Source organism: Homo sapiens, chromosome 2 (assembly GCF_000001405.40).
Source record: "Homo sapiens chromosome 2, GRCh38.p14 Primary Assembly".
Lineage (NCBI taxonomy): Eukaryota > Metazoa > Chordata > Mammalia > Primates > Hominidae > Homo > Homo sapiens.
This window is the reverse complement of record NC_000002.12, coordinates 124,093,158-124,117,162: the sequence shown is the minus strand read 5'-3', so window position 1 is coordinate 124,117,162 and position 24,005 is coordinate 124,093,158. Positions and strand designations below refer to the sequence as shown.

General features: G+C 38.5%; 1 protein-coding gene across 3 annotated transcripts in view, besides 2 other annotated features; it reads right to left on the bottom strand.

Moving 5' to 3' along the window:
• CNTNAP5 (contactin associated protein family member 5) overlaps positions 1–24,005 on the bottom strand; it is an 895,933-nt gene that overhangs the window by 804,057 nt on the left and 67,871 nt on the right. The window lies entirely within an intron of this gene.
• Positions 18,758–19,261: an enhancer, noted in NCBI's record as "H3K4me1 hESC enhancer chr2:124855479-124855982 (GRCh37/hg19 assembly coordinates)". NCBI's record gives its function as "activates a minimal SCP1, AML or CMV promoter by ChIP-STARR-seq in primed H9 embryonic stem cells {active_cell/tissue: H9 hESC(primed)}" and the evidence as "EXISTENCE:reporter gene assay evidence [ECO:0000049][PMID:30033119]".
• Positions 19,262–19,766: an enhancer, noted in NCBI's record as "H3K4me1 hESC enhancer chr2:124854974-124855478 (GRCh37/hg19 assembly coordinates)". NCBI's record gives its function as "activates a minimal SCP1, AML or CMV promoter by ChIP-STARR-seq in primed H9 embryonic stem cells {active_cell/tissue: H9 hESC(primed)}" and the evidence as "EXISTENCE:reporter gene assay evidence [ECO:0000049][PMID:30033119]".

The following is a 24,005-nucleotide window of genomic DNA, read 5'->3' as shown; positions in this document are numbered from 1 at the left end:
TCTGAAAGCAAAACCAGAAAATCAAATGAAAATAAGGGAAACTTAAGCTGAAGTAACACTTTGAGAATAATGCTGACAATATCAGTGTGTGCTACTCTGTTAGGAGAGGAGGATAGGAGAGTGTTTCAGTGCTGTCTCACATTTCAAGGGCAAAGCTATGGAAATAATGGCAAAACATGCCAAGGACCCACTCAGATATCTGTGCTTAAAATTGTAATCACGTTTCATTTTCTTAAAAGTCCTGGCTTGCTTTATTTCAGCCTGGATTCTAGCTCACTGGCAGTAAGCTGTATTGGGATGAAGGACCCAGTTAGTGAAATGCATGCCACTCTGAAAGGTGGCCTCCAAAAGATGATGTAGGAGGAATGTCACAGAGGATCTTCCTCATGAAGGATGTCCACTCCTTTAATGCAATCTTAACAGAAGTTCTGGTGTATGGAAATTACTAATAGACAAATACAAAATTTTCAATAAAAACATGACCCACATTTCTAGGAGATCTGTGCTACACATTTAAATTTATGTAAAAATGGAAGAGTTTATCTTCTAGGAAAAGCCCAATCACCATGGCCCAGCTCAATGTATGTGCAGTGCTTCATGCACAGGTGGGGAGTCTGTGTTGAGTCACCAAAGGGAAAGGAAACAACGAAGCTCACCTCAGGGGACTAAGTACATGGATACAGTGAAATAAAACTATGGATGTCCAGCTGCTAGCCCTGCTACTGCCATCTCTTCCCTTCTCTTTGATTCCTTTGTGTGAATAATTGCACAGAAGAGAGTTTTACCCGATACCCTTCTTCACTTCCTACAGAAAGTAATAGGTCATGTGCTCATGCTATGGGGACTGTGATAGCAGGATTCACACCCTTGTATACATCCCTCCTAACTCAGCATTTATAGTTTGAACACCTGGTACCCACTTTATCTCTGTACTAAGTGGGAGGGAGGGACCACAACCTCAGCTACTATCCAGTCTGGATTTTCCTTCTGCTGTAAGTGCTGCTATGTTTTTCCTCTTATTAGTTCCTTGTTTATACCTAAAGAACAAAAGAAAACAAAAACTGGCCCTGTAGAGCATTTAATGTTTATTTCTTCATTGTTGTAAGTTTGTGTTAACTGAAGGAAGATGTAGAAAGAAAGAAATTAACATTGACTGAGCGTTGACTGAGTGCCAAGCATTGAGCTTTACCAACCAGCACAGTTTGGTCTCAGGACTCTTAAAATAAGCATGGTGGCTGATGCCTGTAATCCCAGCACCTTGAGAGACTGAGGCAGAAGAATAGCTTGAGGCCAGAAGTTTGAGACCAGCCTGCACAAATGTGAAACCTCATCTCTACACACACACACACACACACACACACACACACACAATTAGCCAGGCGTGGTGGCATCTGCCTGTAGTCCCAGCTACTCAGGAGGCTGAGGCATCAAGGCTGAAGCAAGCCTTGATCGTACCACCTCACGTCAACCTGGGAGACAGAGTAAGACATCGTCTCAAAAAAAAAAAAAAAAAAGACTATTATACGGAAAGCAATAATTCAATCATTTCTTGGTTTTACAGAAGAGAAATCCTAGTTTCATCGTGTTACACCCAGGTCTATCTGACTTCAGAATCCTTGATCTTTTCCTACCTTAAGGCCTTTGCCTATAGCTCTGCCAGCAGCCCACTCGATTTTGTTTTCAAAACGTATTACTCTTTTCAATGTTTTCCAAAAACTGAGGGCCTGGCTAGCCCTTACTTGGTTAGAATGTCAATAATCTTTATGCCCCAAATATTTATTTCCAATACCCTGAGTTTCAGTCCGAAATTCCTAAGCCTGGTGATTAATAAAAAGTAAATTAAAAAAACTCTTAATGTGTCCATGGTTTATGAGATTGCTATGATCTAATAAAACCTGTAGCAAAGTGTTAGCCAACTTAGTTATGAAAGGGTGTTCATTTTATGATGATTATTTGAATTGTACATCTATGATTTTTGCACATTTCTATATATGTCATCCTTAAAAAATAAAATATAATAGTCAAATGATTCTAGTAATATGTAAAAAAGATATGTAGAATCCTTGATTTTATATATCATGACATAATAATATGCTAATCATAATAATGTGCTATTATCATAACATCATTATAGTATCTACAGATATTTAGATCTCTAGATATATAGAGCTAAATACAGTAATTAATTTGGATTTATTTTTAAAAGGTGAGGTTTGTTTAAGATTTAAAAATTAACCAGTGTAATTCATTATATTAATGACATAAAAATAAAATCTTAGATGCAGAAAAAGCATTTGAAAAATCCACCTTCAATATTATAAATATATGTACATATAATATATATATCCATATGTTTGGTATATTGCAAATATTAAATGAAATTATTTAAGTTAGTAAAGTGTTATCTACAAACATATTCAATCAGATATCGTATTTATTGATGAAATTTTGAAATATTTTTACTAAGATTATGAATGAAGAAGCTTGTCTATAATTCTTACTTCTACTGAGCATTGTACTGAAGGTCCTTTTCAATGTAATAAGGCAAGATAATGATTTAAATATTAGGACCAGAAAGGAAAATATATAAATGCCATTAATCATGGATGGTTTGATTATATACACAAAAAATGTGATAAAATTCATAAATAAATTATTAGGATTCATGAGGTTAGCAAGGCTGATGAATCAAGGTCAATTTAGTAAAATAAATTTACTTCCGTATACCAGTAATAAACAATTAGAAGATCCTATTTTTAAATAAGATACAATTTATAATGTATCATAAAAATATTAATATCTAAGAATAAATGTAACTAGAGAAGCACAGCCTTGTATTTAGAAAATTTTAAAACATCATTGAGTGAAATATACAAGAAGAACTAAATAAATGAAGAGAGAGATGGACCAGTTTCATTGATTCATGACTTAATGTTGTAACAATGTGAGTTATTCCTGAACTAATCCTGATCTACTGATTCAATGCAATGCCAATTGATATCGCAATACATTTTGTTTAGAAGCTTGGCAAGCTTATTCTAAGAGTTGTATAAAAAATTAAAAATAAGAAGTATAGCTAATGATGCTCTTGAATGAGGTGAGGGACTTTTTTCCCTTGTATCTACCACAAATCATTATAACTACAGTAATTAGGACATGCGATATTGGCACAAGGTTAGGCAAATAGATCAGGGGGATATAATTGGAAACTTAGTAATAGACATATATATATATATAGAGAGAGAGACACTTGATATATAGCAAAGGTGATGCTGTAGAGCAGTGAAAAAATGATCTTTTCAATGATGTGGACAATTGGAAAAAATAAAGTGTGACCTTACTCCACATAATCCACAAAAATAATTTCAAAAGGATTATAAATACGGATGTGAAAGGTAAAACAATAAGGCTTCTAGATGATAGAATATATTATACATTTTTAAAACAAGATGCAAGAGGCTATAAGGAAAAACATTGCTGAATTAGATTAGTAAAATTAAGAACTTATCTTTTCATTTAATTAAGAAAATGAACAAACACACAGTAAGATGAGATGACATATTTATAACACAAGAGAGAACTAGGGCTCCAATCCAGGATATTAAAAAATTACTACAAATAATACACACACACACACACACACACACACACACACATATATATGTATCAGTTGAATAGATATATACAATATAGACATTCAAATAGAAAAAAGTGGGCGAAAGACTTGAACAGACCTAGTATTTCATTTACCCAGCATAGAGGTATAGAGTACTTCTATTTAAATTTGTACAATAAAGAATTTTTTAACGTTTTCTTTTTGAGTGAGACATATAACACCTATAAAGAAAGGTGTACAAAAAACTTTAAAGGAATTATCCCACATCAGAATTAATTGTAAGATTATGAAATAATTTATCCTTTTACTTCTGACATTCATTTGGAGTGTTTCCAGCTTCTAGCTACTATGAATCATGCTGTTAGGATGATGTGCATGTGATTCAGAGGGATACATATGTAGAAGTGGAATTGTTGAGCCACGGGATGTGGGTATACACATTTAAATTTTAGTAGATAATAACAAATTGTTCTCCAGATTATCTGGATATACTTACATTCACAGGCAGTGTATCAGCTCTCTGCTAACTCTTGAAATTGTCCATTTAAAATTTCATTTTAACCTTAGGTATTCTTTCTATTGTGTATGAAATCTTATTTTGGTTTTGTGTGGATTTTCCTGATTGCTAATGAAAATAATGAAATATCTGTATTGCTGCAAACAACTTGAAAGAACCTTAAGGGGACATAATATTATACACAAGAAATGAAACACAAAATGATACATTCTGTTTATAGAGTTGAAAAATACGGAGTGTTTAAGGATGCTTGCTGCAGAGGTAATAAATACTATAAAGAAAAACAAGAAGTACAAATGGGGTTTTTTTTGGGAGGAGGGAGGTGATAATGGGGACTTTTGAATGCTTGTGATGTTTTCATTCTCAACATGATTGGTGCCTACACAAGCAATCACTTTGCAACAAATCATCATGCTAAATATTTTTGTTTCATGAGTTTATCTTTAGGAGCACAAAATTTTATAAAGATTAAAAAATAAAACACTAAACTCAACATGAGAGCTCAGTTGATACATACAAGGAAGTCTATGTCTAACTGTGTGAGAAGCCTATAAGAGAAACAGAACAGAAACTAACAGCCATCCTATCTAAGAGGAGTGTGACAAGTTGGCTCAGCAAGCATGGACCTTTCAAGCAAGGCAGGAGGCCAGAACATCTCTTATATGAAAATATGATGCTTCCAATCAGAGCTAGAGCCATATTTTAGGTGTGAGACAGAGTTCTAGACATTCTTGTCCAAATAGTCAACTCAGGGGGAACCTGAGGGAAGTATTCACAGCAAAAGTGGGAAATCAATGTCTTTGGAAACTAAATAAAGTGATGCCAAGGAAGGACAAGCTAAAATTAATAGTCAGGAAGGTAATCCCTGTGAATACTTAAAAAGCCAGCCAGATTTCTATACAAGCCTGAATGGAGCAGAAATCTCTATGTTTGCCTTCAGGGAGTTTCAAATTTGCTTGGGAGAACACATGAAACTCCAGTATTATATTCTGAGCAGCACAAGATTCCAGCAAACTTGCATAGATGGGGTACTCCCATGGCTAGCTAGGGACAAGTCATTCAGTGTTCTTGCCCATCAGATAATGTCTTCCAGGACAGAAGTGAGAAAGACTGGACCAGTACCGTAGCAGTGTGCATGCTGAATTATGAATTGATTTCTTAAAAAAACCTGAATAGATACAGTGTAGTGACACAAAGCTTTGAGTTTGGAGAAATTGTAAGGACAGGAATAAAAGTTATTATTTGGAATAAAGGCCCACTGTATGATTAACGTGAAGAAGGACCGGAAAGAAGACAAGGGGATGTCATAGAAATTTTTATGCCAACTCCCAATAAATCATTTGCCTTGGGCCTTCGAGTTTTGAAAGTTTGATATTCCCTTTTGTGACCACCCTTCTGGTTTTGTTTCAGTTGTACTGTGGCTTCTTCATGAGAGCTGTTTTTAGTTACTGACATCAGTGATGAAGCCTGTGGTATGGTGATTTGGATTTTGAGGAGAGATCAATAATTTTATATTCCATGAATTTTAAAATACACACTGATACAGGCTCATATGCATCAGTGTACGAGTGATATTAAGATCATTAGCAATGTCAGAATCAGTCATGCCAAGCTACAAATGTATGAAACAACCCACCCACCGTATCATAGCCAGAAAGGAGCCTCCAGTTTAATTGCAATCACAGTGGCTACATGTAATTTCTCCCCTAGATATGCAGCTACACTTTAGCACGTTTTCATCATGGACTTCCAGCAGTCTTGGGAATCCAAATGCACTCTAAACTCTCAAGAGTTCCTCCTCTCTTTTTGTGTTCTTCCTTTGCTCTCTGTGGCCTTTCCCAAGTGTGTATGGAATTTGCCCAAATTTCATTTCATTTTTTGATTGTCTTCCAGCCAGATAATAACAGGCATCTGATCAAGGGTTTAGTTAAGTGCTCCATCCAGCAGTATTTATGCTACATAAATTATTCATACAATACCACCCTGGACAAATCGCACTTTGATTATACACTCATTTTTCAGTCCATTCATTTACCAGACAAGTAGAGATCATGGGAGATCAGAGGAGCCTCACTTGTGAATCGATAATGAACTTGGGCTCTTCACCTGCTCTGTGCCTCAGCTCCCCGTTCTGGTGGTGAGCTTTCTATCAAGGGCCTTTGTGCAGATCAAATGAGGTAATAGATGTGAAAGTCCTTTGAATGGCAAATGTACTGAATAAATAGAGATGAGACAGTTATCCTTGGAAGGTACATTTTACAGTAGAATACTCTGGGGTCACATAGACCTGCCTTTAAATGACAACAGGTTGTGTGGCCCTCGGAAACTACCTAAGCTACTTGAGCCTCAGTTTTATTGTCTATAAAATGAGGATACCAATAGCCCTCTCTCAGGAGAGGTGGAAGGAAGAAATCACATACATAAAATGCTAGCACACTGCTTCACCTATGGTAAATAGTCAATAAACAGTCTTATCTTTCCTATAACTCTTTGAAGACACTGTTCATCTGACAGCCATAATAATTATTATTAATTTTGATTGTTTATTTCTCTTTAATATGAATATGTGTTTTGCTGCCAATTTCATTCTAAGCTCTTGAAAAACCGGCCTTTTTTTATTGTTTTAACTTCCCTCCCTTCCAGGGCCAAACAGCCAAAATATATGCATGTGAATTCATCGATTATATGAGTCCAGATAGGCTTGAATATGGAATCTACAGTCAGTGTTTTGCTTATCTTTGTATATACTTCCCCATTCACAAATCTGAATCCCGGTGCTCAGTACAAAAGGAGCAGTCCATACATAACAACAGATGATTTAAAGGGAAGATGTCACAGTCAGGTTTACAGAGGCTTCCACTGAGCTCACAGCAAAAGAATCACAACCTGGAGAAGTATTCTGCAAATCTGCAAATGATTGGACCTCCTGAAGCAAGTAAATACCCCAAAAAAGTGGTTGATATGCCTTTAATCCCTAAGTAGGACTGAACACATGTGTGGCCTACTTAGAATAGCCTACAATAGTACTTGTGAGCACTTGTTGTAATTTTGTGAAGTTATGCCCTAATAGCTAGAGCCATTGGTAAGATTGTCTTGTACTTAAATTACTTCTAGGACTAACCACTTTATTTGAGGAGCTCAATGTAAGATAAAAATGCAGATCCTTTGTTCAAAAACCAGAATAAAGTGCCGTTAATAGTGCAAAATTCCATATGCACATATTTTACTTTCTTCCTGGTATCTCTGTTGACTTGTCATGGTGTTATTTACCTGCTATTTAACATTATACCCTATCAGGCAAGGGGCTACCAAGGTGCATGGGGGTCAGCCCTGTGATGTAGCCAGCCACACCTGTGGCTCACCAGCTGTCTGTTTATCCCTTCTGTGAGCTACCTGACAGATGCCCTGTCCCCAGGCAGGGAAATCGGTCTCTGGTTTCCAGGTACCAGCTTCCCAGTCCAAGAAGGATGGGTATTCCCTGAAGGACCACAACTTTTGTTCCAGGATACGCTTGTTATCTGAACCAAGGGTGGGCAAGAGGCTTGCCACTACTGATGCGCCTACCTCATGTGTCCTGGTATTTCCAGCCTGGCAAGGGACAGCTCTGTCATGCCCCACATGAAGATGCTATGGGGATGTGTAACCATCCCCAACTCTACCTGTGTGTGTGCCTGGGCCTCGCCTCGAGTACAGGATGGCAGCTATCACTGTGTGAGGTGAGGGCTGAGTGGGGTTTGGGGCATCCAGAGGCAGAGAAGCTGGGAGCCTAAAATCTACCTGTGAGGCAAGGGTTTGAGGCCTCAGTGTGTGCCCCTTTTTCCCCTGGGACATCAGTTAAAAAGCACAAATTTAAATACAAAATTAATTATTTCAAAGATTTTCAATCAGGGACCCTTTGGAGCAAGGGGCCTTATGTGACCTCACTGGCTGCCGGCTCAGGAAGCTGCCCGTGATTGAAGACCTCACATCTCTGTGCTTTTTGGGATCCACTTGCTTGCTCCCAGGATGTATGCTCCTACTTAATTTATCTCTGGAAAGCTCTTATGTTAGGGTTTCAATGTGATAGTGTCTCAGTAATAAGCTGTGGTTTACTAGAATTGTGGGAATATGATGAGGATAGGGGCATGAATGACAGTCTAAGAATATCCCCTGTAAGGAGCACACATGAGCCTTATAAACTCAAGTTAGATAAAAAATAATTGATCACTTTCTGGTTTCTGAAATGTCTTAAGGAAGTTGCTGTTATATCTGTACTGGACAAGTGGTTCTCCAGTGAAGGGTTTCTACAAACCAGTGGGTGGCTAAAATTATCTTGCTGTGTGGCAAATAAACGTTAGAAAATAATATTATCTAAGTGACTAAATTTGGAAATCATTAACTTTGAACACATTCAAAGCTTCCCATATACTTCTAATGTGCACATGAGAGAGGAACGTAGGCATTTTACCTTCCTTTTCTGAGACATGGCACAGAGCACGGGAGCAACAGTATCATACGTGCAAACTCTGTTACAAATATTAACGAGACAGAGAGATGGCCTGAGAGGGCAAAGGGGTGAGAAGTGGGAGGAAGTGTCTTCCGGGCTGCTCGTCTTCTATTGATGGTCCCTAAGCAATAACATTTGAAGTAGTAGAAGGGTAAGCCTATTTAATATTACAAAGGTAAACACTGAGAAAGAGAACATAATAAAATAAGATCAGGTGACAGTTGCAAGTGAGAGGAAAGCTATTAATTTAATCATTGCTCATAACCAGAAGTCAACAGATAATGTTTAAAGAGAGAGAGGATTAAGGATATTATATGAAGTTAGAGCTCTAAGGTTAAAATTCCTTGTGGGCCTCAAGATTTTTACCCTAAAATACTTTTGTGCAATTTCACCCTGGCAATGTAAACCAGCAGCTAATCTTCACAGGTGCAGGACAGACAGCCATCGCTCTGCTCACCTGAGACAAATGCATATCTGACTGTTTCTTCTGCCCCACTGTTTATGTAAAAATGCAGATTCACTATGCTCAACTAAATTGTGTATTCAGTGAAAGGTAGATCAAGGACTCAAAATAATGCAACCTTTTGTCTTTTATCTAGCTATGACCTGGAAGTCCCCAACCACTACAAGTTGTCCCAGCTACCAGACAGAACCAATGCACATCTTACATATATTGATTGATACCTCATATATTCCTAAAATGTATAAAAGCAAGCTGTACCTCAGTCACCTTGGGCACAGGTCATCAGGGCTTCCTGAGGCTGTGTCATGCATGTGCATCCTTAACCTTGACAAAATAAACTTTCTAAATTGGTAAAGACCTGTCTCAGATATTTTGGGTTCACACACATTGCTAGCACAAAGCCAAGAACATACAGTCTACTTGAATTATTTTGATACAGTCACCAGAGGAAATACTGTAACAAAAAATTTGATTAACTAAAAGCATAACTTTCTACTACACAATCTAATCAATATAACTGAACTCACCTATTAAAATTTAAAAAATCCAAGATTAGACAAAATCAAATCTAAACTCTATACTGTATGTAGGAGACACATCTATAACAAGTGATTCAGAAAGTTTGGAATATCATAATGAGCAAAGGTGAGTTGTGTTGTACTGAGTCAACCTTGTTAAGCTAGAAAATTCATTTTCCAGATTTCCCTTTCCTATATGGTTCTGGGAGACAAAAAGTTCACTTGAAGAAGATTCAAAATGTGGTCTGGATGCCTCTGGAAGGTCTTCATGGTCAGGGACAAAGATAGACGCAGTGGTTTCCAATAGCCCTCATTGTTCTCAATTCCAGGTCCAGCTTTTCTTCCTCACTGCCAGCCCTGAGAGCATAGTGGTCCCAAGCCCATCATCAGAGGTTAGTTTCAGACCCACAAAGGTAATCACTGCACAACAGCACCAGCTCTCTTTCTCCCTGAGCTCTCATTTCACAGTCCTGCCTACGTGGTTGGATGTGCTGGCTTCTCAGACATGCCTGAAAGCTCCCACTTGTCCACCACACTGGTGCTTCAGGAGCACTGATCTGAACTGTTTTATTCACAACGCTTCTGACACCAAATGTCTGGGTTTTTTTTCCCTCACACCAATCAATTTTCAAGTCTCTAGGCACCAATGGTTGTTGAACAATTCAACTCAATTCTGACAGTATCTACCTGGAGTCAGTGTCAGATCCCACAGGTTAAGGACTCAGTCCCATACGATGGCTCCAGCTTCAAGTGCCAGCCCCAAGCCTCAGGTTGTCACTAGCAATTCTGACTGACCAGCTATATATATGGGGGTTTCCACAAACCCCTCCTCAGTTTCTATAATTTGCCAGAATGGCTCACAGAACTCAAGTAAGCACTTTACTTAATGTAACTGATTTATGTTCAAGGACATAGCTGAGGAACATCCAAATGGAGGAGCTGCATTCGGAAAAGAATGGGTGAAGGGGTAGAGTCTTCATGGCTTTTTGGGATATGCCACCTCTCAGCACCCCAAAGCGCTCACTGACACAGATGCTTTCCAAACCCCTTTACAGGCTTTAATGGAGGTTTAATTTCATAGGCATCCTTGATCAGTTCATTGGCCATTAATGGTTAACTCAATCTCTACCCTCTTTCCTCTGCCCAGAGGTTGGGAGGTCGGGCTTAAAGTGCTATAATTCCAACCATGCCTAGGACTTGCTGGTGCCCAGCCTCCATCCTGCATCTATCCAGGGTGCTCCAGCCACCAGTAACTTGTTGGCACACCAAAGGCACAGAACTCTGCAGATTCTAAGGACTTTAGGAGCTGTATGTCAGGAACTAGAGACAAAGCCCACATATTTATTTAATTTTTTATCACAAGTGGTTAGTGAGGACACCTTCTCGAATCCTTAGTCTACTTCTAGACCTTCACTTCCCCACCTCTTGCACTTTTGTGTAGGCCTAATTCCTGCAATGATAACTTGTATAAAGAAAAAAAAAAGCAGTATCTGGAGAAATACACAGAAATAAAGTAATCGTAGATTTCAATTCTCCTTTTCCATTTCATGAAAGATTAAATGAATAAAAAACATATACAAAAGATTTAAGCAATATGGTTTAAAAATGAGATGTAATAGATATATAGTTACCCTCCGTAGACTAATAGGTGAGATTAAACATTTTTCAGATGATCCATTGAAAATTCTCAAAAAAATAATCACTAGGAAAGCATCAATATGTTCTCAAACATGGAAATAATGCAGACAACATTATCTGGTCACGGTGGGGTAAAACTAAAATCAATATAAAAGCCAGAAAATCCATTTATTCTACTACCTGGAAATTAAATAACAACAAAAACAAAACTACCACAATATGTTAAAACAACCACCAGGTTAAAGTATAAATAATGAATACCAAAAATATGCATAATATCTAGAAAAATGGCAACAATGAACAATAACAGTTAAAATTTTAAAAATCTAGATAAAGCAAGGCTGATAGATAATGCTAAATAATTAGTCCAAGATATTGTTTTTTATTAATTGGACTTGAGTAGGTCAGAAAAATTAATAAGCAGTATTTACATGAAAGTATTAGGAAAATGCCACTCTTTTCACTGATTGGAGTGTACATCGGTGCAAATTCTCTGTTGGACAATATGGCACTATCTCTCAAAAAATGACAAGTTTTCATATGTTTTAATTCAGCAATAACACTTCTAGAAATTTCTTATACATGTATTCAAACATTTGCAAAATGTCAGGTATGCAAAGTTATTTACTGCAACATTGTTTTTAATGGCAGTGATTAGTCACAGTCTAAATGTCTATTAGTGGAAGATTGGCTGAAGAGATTATGATACACCCACACAATTTAATACTGTGCATCCTCAAAAGGAATGAAGTGTTTCATGCACTGATCTGAAGAGATCAGTAAGATTTATTGCTAAGTGGAAAAGCAAGGTGCAGAACAGTGCATTTGTATGCTAATAGGTGTGTATTAAAAAGGAGGGAGGAGGTCTTTATATGCTTATATATGTGTAGAGCAGCTCTGAAGGACATACAGCAGCCTGAAAAGTGGTTGGTCCGAGGGAGGGGACTTGGTTTTCTAAGGGACAAGATGTCAGGAAACTTTAACTGTATATGATTATGCACATTTCTAACTGTGTATAATATAAATGTATTAATTACTCAAAAACAAATAAAAACAAGGACAACAGCAACCCGAGTACCAGCTACCAAAGCTGTCAGCATGATAGGCTCCTATGCTGTTTTGAATGGGAAAGTCATGGAGTGGAACTAGTGCTGGGCCAGGAGAATTGTGTGTAAGTTCTAAAGCTTCTGTTATTTATATCAACCATCAGAGTCCACTCATGGTAATGCGTTCTGCAAGTGTTCAGAGTGGGGTGGGAGGAGACAATAAAATTATAGGAAAGTGCTTTACTTTGCCATATAAGTAACACTATACGATATAGGACTAAAAAATGTTCATTGGATTTGACAGTCGGGAAATCATTAGCAAACTTACCTGAAAACAAAAACAAAGCAAAACAAAAAAACCTTTTCATAAATGGGGAAAATGAGGCAGAATATGGAGTGTTAAGGGAGGGCATTCAGTATTGCCCAGATGATCACTGCTCTATCTATCTAATTGGTGTCTAGAATAGATGTGTGTCTACATGTTCAAGAGTGAGTGGAAATTCAAAAAATAGAGGAGAAAAAAATTTCTCAATGACACTTACTGATATTTATGGAAAAATAATATGTCAATAATTTGCCTCAAAATAATGTAGAGAACAGAAAGTTGGTGAGGTATGGAGTTGATGATGGAATGTGTGATACATACATGGAGTTTATGATACTTTTATTTTTTCCTTCAAAAATGAAAGAAAAATAAAGATTGTAAATGTTGATCACTTGGTCAAGAAGTTTGGTTGTATAGGAAAGTTGAGAAATGAGGTAGTATCTAGAGGAGGATACAAGTCAGAAGAGGTTAAGAGAGAACTATATACATAATCTATATATAATATAGATTTATGTATAATGTATACATATATTTATAATATATAAATATATAATTCATATGCAGTACATATATTATTATGATTAACTATATTTTAATAACATATATAATGCTTAAATTATATAATATATAATCTATATAGAAATACAGATTCATATGTAATATATAAATTATATTTATATTATATAAATTTATTTATATATATCTATTATTAACTATATTTTAATAACATATATAATGGTTAAGTTATATATAATATAACTTAATATACAGTCATGCCTCACTTAACAACGGAGATCTGTTCTAAGAAGTGTGACATTAGGTGATTTTGTAATTGAACATCAGTGTGTCCTTACACGCATCTAGACAGTATAGCCTACTACAGACCTAGGCTTTATGGCACAGCTTATTGCTCCTAGGCTACAAACCTATACACCATGTTGCTGGACTGAATACTATAGTCAATTGTAACACAATGGCATTTGTGTATTTTAACATAGCTAAACATGGAAAAGGTATAGTAACAATAGAGCATAAAATAAAAAATGGTACACTTGTATTGGGCATTTACCATGAATGGAGCTTATAGGGCTAGAAGTTGCTCTCGGTGACTCAGTGAGTGATGGGAGAGTGAATGTGAAGGCCTAGGACATCACTCTACACTGCTGTAGGCCTTATAAACACTGTACACTTAGCCTACCCTACACTTATTTTAAAAAATTATTCTTCAATCATAAATTAACTGCAGCTTACTATAACATGTTTACTTTACACAGTTTTTAATTTTATTTCACTTTTTGATTCTTTTGTAACGGCACTGAGCTTAAAACACAGACACATTGCCCCACTATACAAAATATTTTATAATTCTTATTTTGTAAGACTTTTTTCTATTTTTAACTAACTGTTAATTTTTTTTAACTTTTGAAACATTCTTGTTACAAACTAAGATACAAACACACACACGGGTTAGGATCATCAAGATGTCATTAGGCAGGAGGAATTTTCCAGCTCTGTTATAATCTTGCAGAAACACCGTTGTATATGTGGTCCATTCGCTGTAATGTTGTGATGTGGTGCATGACTGAACTATGTTTAGATATTCAGGTATTTCAGATGAAAGACACTTGAAAATTTCTTATATGTGGATAAATAAGAGCCACACATAAGAAGAGCTAATATTTATTGTGTACTTTGCATGTACCAACCACTGTCTTAAGTGCTTTACCTGATTCAGCTCATTTATCCTCACAACATCGCTGTGAGGCAGGCATTATTTTTAATCCCACTTCATAGATATAGACCGAAGCTCAGGCCAGATGCCCCCACAGGAACGGGAGGTGGGTTCACAAGCGCAGATGGAGAAACCAGCTTTCCCGGGAGGAGGAGACTCCTTTATTGGAACTGGAGCACGGGGCTTATTTGAATTTATGTGATGAGGGCAGAGAGAAAGGCAGAAAATAGTTAGCTTTCTCATTGCTTCCAGGTCCGCCTCTGTGACTTCTGTTGGTGTTATCATTTCTCTACAGCAGAAGCATAAACTGAGCTCCAAAGAGATTGAGTGACTTGCCTGAAGTGAGGCTACAAAGCCAATGAATGGGCAGAGTGGGATGAAGAGCCTGGTCGCTGAACTTCTGGCGCTGTGTTCCTTTCATCTGCAAAATCAGCCAGGATCGAGGAGAAAATTATCCCCCGAGGATGATTTACATGTCTTTATTTTATTATTCAGCAATTTTAGCTGGAGTTTCTTCCTTTATTTCATTTAGAGGTTTACTTACTATTACTCTTTTCTTTCTTTGAAAAGTGGCCCCAGGGACTTGGATTAGTTCCTGTGCCAGTGGCATTGCTTTTAATATTTGCAAAGGACAACGCAAAGGTTGCTTTAAAAAATACAATGTATTTTACTTCTTTAATATTTAATTCTGGTTCAGGGGGTGGTGGAGGGAATCTGGAAGCCTCAGCATTTAGGAGTTCAGTTTATGGGGAGGTCATAGAGCCACATCTGCAATGGTTCCTAGAAGATGTGTGGGCAAGTGTCTCTGGAGCTGGTTGTGGAAAATCAGTGATACGCTGTCAGCAACCCCACCAGCCTGTGAGAGGGGCAAGTCAGGCACCAGGCGGCTACGGCTGGTATGAGACAGAACTACTGATCCACATTAAGAAGAGTGAATGTCTGATAAAATCAACCTTTTCTATTTGGAGAAATGCCTGAAATAAGTGATCAATGTGGAATGGCCATTTAGGTACCCCAGGTTGTTAACATTGAATTGCAGTCTCTGTCTTAGTCCAAATGTCAAGAGTGTATTAGCACAGTCTCCAGATATTCTGAGGCATGTGCTGATTGGGGCTGAAGTGAGTGAATAGCTGAAATAAATAACTTTTCAACTTTTAACTTGCAGATGTTTTTTATAAGCAGGGAAAAAGCCTTATCTGAACTTGCTCTTTACTGCCTACCTCTGGGCCAAGTCATGTGTTAAAAGGAGGTCTCCATGGATGTTTGGGATTCGTGATGTAAATTCCTAAACCACCTTCAAATATGCCTGCCTTGTCTGGTTGCACCGTCCCTTCCCTACTCTTGCCTAGGATTCTTGTGCCCCTTTCCAGCTTTGTTCCTCCAGGTTAATGTAGGTGAGCACCTAATTAGAGGTCAACAGTAGCCAGACAAGGAAGGATTCTTATTAATGAGCGTGGGATCTGAAATCAGACTGGGCTTGAGTCTGAGGTCTTCTACTTAGTGAGCAGAAGACAAACTTGCAGAAATTATTTAATTTATCTTAGCTTTTTCATCTAAAAATGATGATGGCATATTTTGTTATAAGGAATATATTATATAGTAAATCACATAAAGCCATCTACATCTTATGTAAGTGATTAAAAATGTCACCTATAATTATTTTCATGTTCCTGAGCAACATGATTATTGTGAATCTTCCAAGCATTCGCATATCTCCTCAATATCTGTCGTGATCAAGGGTTGACCAAGTTCTATGGGTCCTTTCACTTTCTAGATAAACCATGGGTGTTCAGAAGTGAGTGTTTAACACATTCCCAAAGCTGATCCTTTTTTCTCTTTTTCAAGTGCATCGATTCAGGAATCATGAATTAAGAATTGAGAATCTTGATTGTTGCTTTTTCTGCTCAGTTTCCCAAACATCAACTTTATCTTATTCTTTTTTTTTTTTTTTTTTTTTGAGACAGAGTCTCACTTTTTTGCCCAGGCTGTAGTACAGTGGTGTGATCTCAGTTCACTGCAATCTCTGCCTCCCAGGTTCAAATGATTCTAGTGCCTCAGCCTCCCCAGTAGCTGGGATTACAGGCACATGCCACCATGCCTGGCTAATTTTTGTATTTTTGTAGAGACGAGGCTTTGCTATGTTGGCTAGGCTGGTCTCAAACTTCTGGCCTCAAATGATCCACCTGCCTCAACCTCCCAAAGTTCGGGAATTATGAGCGTGAGCCACTGTGCTCAGCCAACTTTACTTTATTCTTAAGGAGACAGTTAGTGTGATAGAGAATACAGACCTAGAAAAAAAATTCCAGACTCTGAACAATGCTAGATTTGAATCCTGAATTGAACACTTCTTATTATACGTATTAGTTATTATATGCAGTTTTGAGTATATTACTTTATTTTTCTGAGCTCATATTTTTTCACAAGCAAAGTAGGTTTGTGATATAGTTTGTATATTTGTCCTCGCCCAAATGCCATGTTGAATTGTAGTCCTCAATGTTGGAGGTAGAGCCTTGTGGGAGGAGTTTGAGTCACAGGGGTGAACTCTCATGAGCAGTTTAGCACCATCTTCTTGGTGCTGTCCCTGAGATAGTGACTTATCATGTGCTCTGGTTGTTTAAAAATGTGTCGCCCCTCCGCCCCTCGTATCCCTGCTTTTGCCATGTGAAGTGCCTGCTCCTGCTTTTCCTTCCACCATGATTGGAAGCTTCCTGAGGCCTCCCCAAAAGCAGAAGCTGCATAACGGTGAGAAAAATTAAACTTCTTTTCTTATAAATTACCCAGTCTCAGTTATTTCTTTATAGCAATGCAAAAATGACCTAATACAGTGATATGGTTTGGATCTATGTCCCCACCTAATCTCATGTCAAACTGTCATCTCCAGTGTTGGAAGTGGGCTTTGTGGGAAGTGATTGGATCAGATGGATGGAGGTCTCATTAATGACTTAGCACCAACCATTTGGTCCTGTTCTTGTGATAGAGTTTTCATGAGATCTGGTTTTTGAAAAGTGTGTGGCACCCCCTGCCCCCCGCCTTGTTCTCTTGGTCCTGTTCCTGCCACGTAAGGTGCCTGCCCCTCTTCTGCCTCCCTCCATGAGTAAAAGCTCCCTTAGGTCTCACTGGAAGCAGATGCTGCCATTCTTCCTATACAGCCTGCAGAACTGTGAGCCAATCAAACCTCTTTTCTTCATAAATTGCCCAGTTTCAGATATTTCTTTATGGCAATGCGAGAATGAACTAGTACATACGGCTCGATAATCTCAAACTCGTAGGTTATACTGAGATTAGAACTGGATTCAAGGTGCCATACCCAGGGTCTGATACACAATGCCAACTGTCACTTTTTGACACAGCCTGTGCAGGTGCTGTGCTGGACAATAGGGTACAGGTGAATATGACAGATTTTGCCCTCAGAATTTCAATACTTGGTGAATGTTAGATGTACAAACTGAGGTAGTTATTATAGTCAGTAAATATGAAGACAGATGTAAACCCTTCCTGCTCTAGAGACCCAGAGGAGTGGTATTTCACCTAAGCTGTGTGCTATGCGGAGTCTTCCTGGATATGGGAATAGTTGAATCAAGGCTGAAAGAGTTGCGTAGGTGTAGAGAGCATAAAGGACGTTCAAGATGGGAGAAGAGTGTAAGTGAAGCCCTGAAATTGAAGGGTGCAGAGGAGCAATGAACCCATCAATATCACTGGAGCTTACAGTGTGAGGATGGATATATGCGGCATGAGTCTGAAGAAATAGGCAGATCTTGTGTTACGAAGGTCCTTGAGCACTGCACAAAGGAGCTTGGGCTTAATTTATAACAATAGGGAGACATTGACAGTAATAGGAATTTGTCAATAAATGGTGGATGTTAGTATTATTATCATTATTGCTGTTAATCAGGCAGTTGGTGCAGTGTCTTCAGGCTGGTAAGTGATGCTGCGTCCACAGGATCAATTTCCTCATGTAGGTGATATCACTGCAGTGGAGTTCCTGACACTTTATCCCCCTTTCTGATGTTTCCCAGAGGCATAAAGTCAGACTGAAGCTCTACGCCATTTCTCAAGCTGGCATCTTATCAGTTGTTTGTTTGTTTGTTTGTTTTTTCTCAACGCCAGACACAGAGAGTACGGCTCAGGCTCTGGTGGGCTTGCCTGAAGATATAACCCAAATCTAACACTAGTTGTGCCCCTGGAATTTTTTTTACCTGTGCCTCAGTTTCCTCATCTGTAAAATGGGGGAAATAATGGGACACTACTTCTTAGGGTTGTCTTCAGGATTATGATTTACTACACGTAATATCATCAGAACCATCTCTAGCCCATAGTATATGTTCAGTAAAGCAATTAGCTGTTATGTCCTAAGTTGTGTTGATCCTTCCACCCGCACTGTGAGTACAGTTCACCCTTGAACAACACAGGTCAGAACTGCATGGATCTACTTATACCCAGATTTTCTTCCACTTCTGCCACCCCTGCATATCAAGACCAATTCCCCCCTCTTCCTTCTAAGCCTACTCAGCATGAAAACAATGAGGATGAGGACCTTTATGATGTCCTACTTCCAGGTAATAAATAATAAATATATGTTGTCTTCCTTTTGATTTCCTTAGTATCATTTTCTTTACTGTAACCTTCTTTATTGTAAGAATAGAGCAAATAATACATATAACACAAATATGTGTTAATCAACTGTTTACGTGATCACTGAGGCTTCTGGCCGATAATAGGCTATTATTAATAGTAGTTAAGTTTTTCGGGAGTCAAAGGCTTTTTTGTTTTTTTATCTATTTATTTATTTTTTTTGAGACGGAGTCTCGCTCTGTCGCCCAGGCTGGAGTGCAGTGGCGCCATCTCGGCCCACGGCAAGCTCCGCCTCCCGGGTTCATGCCATTCTCCTGCCTCAGCCTCCCAAGTAGCTGGGACTACAGGTGCACGTCACCATGCTTGGCTAATTTTTTGTATTTTTAGTAGAGACGGGGTTTCACCGTGTTAGCCAGGATGGTCTCGATCTCCTGACCTCGTGATCCTCCCGCCTCGGCCGCCCAAAGTGCTGGGATTACAGGCGTGAGCCACTGCGCCTGGCCGGAAGTCAAAATTTATGTGTGAATTTTTGACCGGGTTGGGGCAGTCCCCCAAACCCTGCGATGTCCAAGGGTCAACTGAATGTGCTTCAGAGGCTGTCTTTACTGTTCTTCAAGTAGAGCATAGGGAAACAATGGACAAAGGGCCAGCTCATTCCTGCAAGGTGGTGCATGCTAAGGACCACACAGGCTCTGGGGCGCCAGCATGTCCTTACAGTGGGGCTTGGTTCCAAGGTGAGAGTGGCGAGGGGAATGGGAGAGGAAAAGATTTGTCTTAATCTGTATTTTCAGAATATGCATACTGTTTCACTTTGTGCATTTATTTGGTTGTTAATATGATAAAAACTTCTTGATGCTATCAAAGTGTATAGAGGTTGAGAGGACGATTAGAAAGCAACATCTCTGTGGTGGATGGAATTGGGGTAGGATAGTGTGACAGTGCTTTAGAATGTGGACTTTAGAATCACAACGTCTGTGTCAGGATCCCATCCAAAGCCTTCATTAGTTTGGCAGTCCCTGGACACATCAGGTAACCTCTACCTTTCTCATCTGAAAAATAAAAATGCTTAAAATATTTTTCTCATAGGGATACGGTGAGAATCTGAGGAGATAATATATGTAAACATGCTTTCCAAGCTCTAAAAGAATACCCAAATTCGAGTTATTACTAGGAATAGGTCATGTTTGGATGGCAGATGAGTAGATGGTCCAGTTCAACAAAGAAAATAGTACGTTAAAAGATTTGGGGCCGGACACACTGGCTCACACCTGTAATCCTAGCACTTTGGGAGGCTGAGGCAGGTGGATTGCCTGAGTTCAGGAGTTTGAGACTAGCCTGGGGAACACGGTGAAACCCCGTCTCTACTAAAATATCAAAAATTAGCCCGGCATGGTGGTGTGCTCCTGTAGTCCCAGCTACTCGGGAGGTTGAGGCAGGGGAATTGCTAGAACCCGGGAGATGGAGGTTGCAGTGAGTCAAGATCATGCCACTGCACTCTAGCCTGGGTGACAGAGCGAGACTCTGTCTCTATAATAAATAAATAAATAATAATAATAATAAAAGAAGATTTGGCTTCTCTGGGCCACAGAGAGGAAAACAATTTTCCCAGAGCTAGGGAATACAGTTCCCCAAATAGTTCATTGGAATATATATGATATGCCTCCTATCTGTGAAGAGCATACAGGCTACTTGGGGAGCTAGACATGTGAAGGTCATGTGAGGGAGTTTGTGTCATAGAATATGAAGGAAGTGCATTTAGAAATGAATGTCTAGTCCCCTAAAGAATGGATACTAAGTTGCCAGCAATTGAGTTGATTAAATTGGCAAGAAGGAGCTATTGAAAATTTTTGCATGAGAGTGATGAAATAAAACTGTATTTTTTCATGCACACCTCTTGCCCAAAGGGATTTTTCTATAATCCTTTCAGCAGGGCTCCCATATGTTTCTATAAATGAGATTTGAAAAATAGATATAAAATATGAAAAAAATTCAGGCTAATAGAGTAGGTTATTCATCTAAGCACAAATGGGAACTAAAGACAAATAGTGAATGTTGATTTACTTACAGGGCAAGGATACTGGAATGTTTGGAGCTACATGAGGCAATAGTGGGGTGTAATTACTTCATGTTTGTGTATGTCGAGCAAAATAAGAAAATATTAGAATAACTTTTGAGACTAGCACGGGAAAGAATGTTCAGGGACCCACTGAGAAAAATCTTTAAGAGCAGTTTGAAGACAGGGGGACTTAGTTTTGAATCTCTCCTCTGCAATCTGCTCACTATGCAATGTTGAGCAATTTACTATTTTTCTATCTAAGCCTCAACTTATTCATCTAGAAAATGGGGCTAACGATGTTTATCTCATAAGAGTGTTAAAGATTAACTAAAGATTAAAATAAAGCATGAAAATGATTGTCATACATTGTGCATTCAATAAATGTTGGCTGACACAAACCAAAAATTCAGAATAGAAGAAAAAAAAAGATGCATATTAAAATCAAAAAATCAAGGCAATTTAAAATAACTAAGCCTAGAAATATGACACTGACCTCCATGGGAGGCAACAGAAGAGAGACTCATTCCTCACTTTTTCAGAAACAATGTACCAAGTGTCACACAGGCTTCAGGAACTTTCCTGTGGAAGGAGGGATAGTAGGGTTAGCTTCCAGCCTTCCAAGGAGCTCACAGGAAAGGGAAAGAGCCAGATAAGGAAATTGGCAATTGCAGTGCAGCTTTTTTTTTAACTTTAAGTTCTGGGATACATGTGCAGAATGTGCAGCTTTGTTACATAGGTATACATCTGCCATGGTGGTTTGCTGCACCTATCAACCTGTCATCTAGCTTTTAAGACCCGCATGCATTAGATATTTGTCCTAATGCTCTCCCTCCCCTAGCCCGTCACCCCATGACAGGCCCCAGTGTGTGATGTTTCCCTCCTCATGTCCATGTGTTCTCGTTGTTCAACTCCCGCTTATGACTGAGAACATGCAGTGCTTGGCTTTCTGTTCATGTGTTAGTTTGCTGAGAAGGATGGTTTCCAGCTTCATCCATGTCCCTGCAAAGGACATGAACTCATCCTTTTTCATGGCTGCATGGTATTCCATGGTGTATGTGTGCCACATTTTCTTTATCCAGTCTATCATTGATGGACATTTGGGTTGATTCCAAGTCTTTGCTATTGTACTAGTGCTGCAATAAACATAAGTGTGCATGTGTCTTACCCAAGGGATTGTAAATCATTCTACTATAAAGACACACGCAGTGCAGCTTTTTAAAGGTAAAATCCTACAGGAGCACTGAGGGCAGCAGTGCCCACCATGGTGGATTCTTTCTGTGGCTCCCAGTGTTTTGATTTTCCCTGTACTGTTCCATAGTCTCACACTGACCCCTGGCAAAGCAGTCATCTCTTATCAGTGAGCAGCACCAATCTGGAGAGAGGTGCCTTCACAGCTGGTGCCCATCTCACCCAAAAACTCATCCCCCTGGGGCTGTGCATGCCTCCAACCAGGAAATCTTTAGCCCCCACACCAGTTGCTGTTGTGCCTTTAGCAATTTAGAAAAGAAAAAAAGTACCCCTTCCTCAACATATTTTGCCTCTATACAGCAGTGTTTTTATTATGTATATATTGATTAAAACAAACAAAATGAACAAACATGAAACTTTGAGTCTATCTATAAAGAGCATGGTGCTTAAATGTATTAGACAAATGTATTTTATAAATGTATTAGACATATATATGTATTAGACAAATCTATAAATGTATTAGACAAATCTATGACATTTGCAATGTGGGTGATGGCCTCTCAGCCCAGAGACCCTTATGCAGTTCACCTGACAACACCATATCAATAGCCCTGACAAATACTACTATTCTCATTTTCAGATGAAGAAAATGGAGTTCAGGTAGATCAACAGAATTACTCCAAATCGTATAATTTTGGAAAAGGAGCAGAAATTAAATGCACATAGGACAGATTTCAAAGTTCCTCCTATTTCTGCACTCTGAAATGCTGATTACTGCATGTTAAAAGTGTTATTTACTTCTGGTGACCATTTCTGCCCTTTGCTGAAAAGAAAAAACAATTTGAGTTTGCACGTTTAGACCATCCCCTTTATTCACACACCAACATTCTTTGATTTATTGTGCTAAAGCACTTTCAGTTCATTAGGCATTCCCTCCCTTTAGTCTGTGTTTCAAAACTCATTATTCGACATTTATCTAAACAAACTGTATTTGCCATCCATTAGCTCTCTATTAGCCTGAGGTGCCCAAATGAGCAAATTTCTCCTCCATCAGAATACGTTGTGCCTCATTATTTGTTGTTTTCTCATAATTTAGTAGCATCTGCAAATTTCCAAACTTGGCTTTAAACACTGAGGCTGCGATATCATTAATACAAATCATGCAAGATAATACTGAGTTGAAATAAGCTTCTTTATTTTCACCTCTATCAAGCTGACATGCAAATGCAATGCTTTTATTATTGTTGTCCTTATTCCATGAGTATTTTCTCTATCTTATACCCAAGTATGAAGATTAGAGAGAGTGAACAAATAAGTTCAAGGTCGAGATTTGCAAGATGAAATATCAGCTGTGGCTTTGTTGGGCTTTACCTTAACAACATCAAATGTGCTTTATTTTTTAATATGACTATGGGTGCCCATTCCTCCTAAAAAAATAAGATCCCATCGTCTCATACATAAACTTGAAACATCTAGCATCAAATCATTCATATTCAGGCATTTACCAAGAATCATTAAGCATTCATCTAATAGCAAATCAGTTCTGAGTTGTCTGTGCTTTAACAATCATCACTCCTTCAAAATGCAAGTCAAGAATCTACAGGCAGCAATCATAATAGTAACTGCTCATTGAATTGATCATGTGCCAGTCTCTTCTAGAGGCTTTATGTATATTTACCATTCCTCACCACAAGCTCTCAGGTAGCTATTCTTAGTTCCCATTTCACAGATAAGGACATGGAGGATAAGAAAAGCCAAAGGACTTGCCAATTTCATATTGCAAGAATGTACCAGAATGAGATTCCAACACAGGTTGTCAGCTCCACAAGCCATGGTCTAACCAATAAA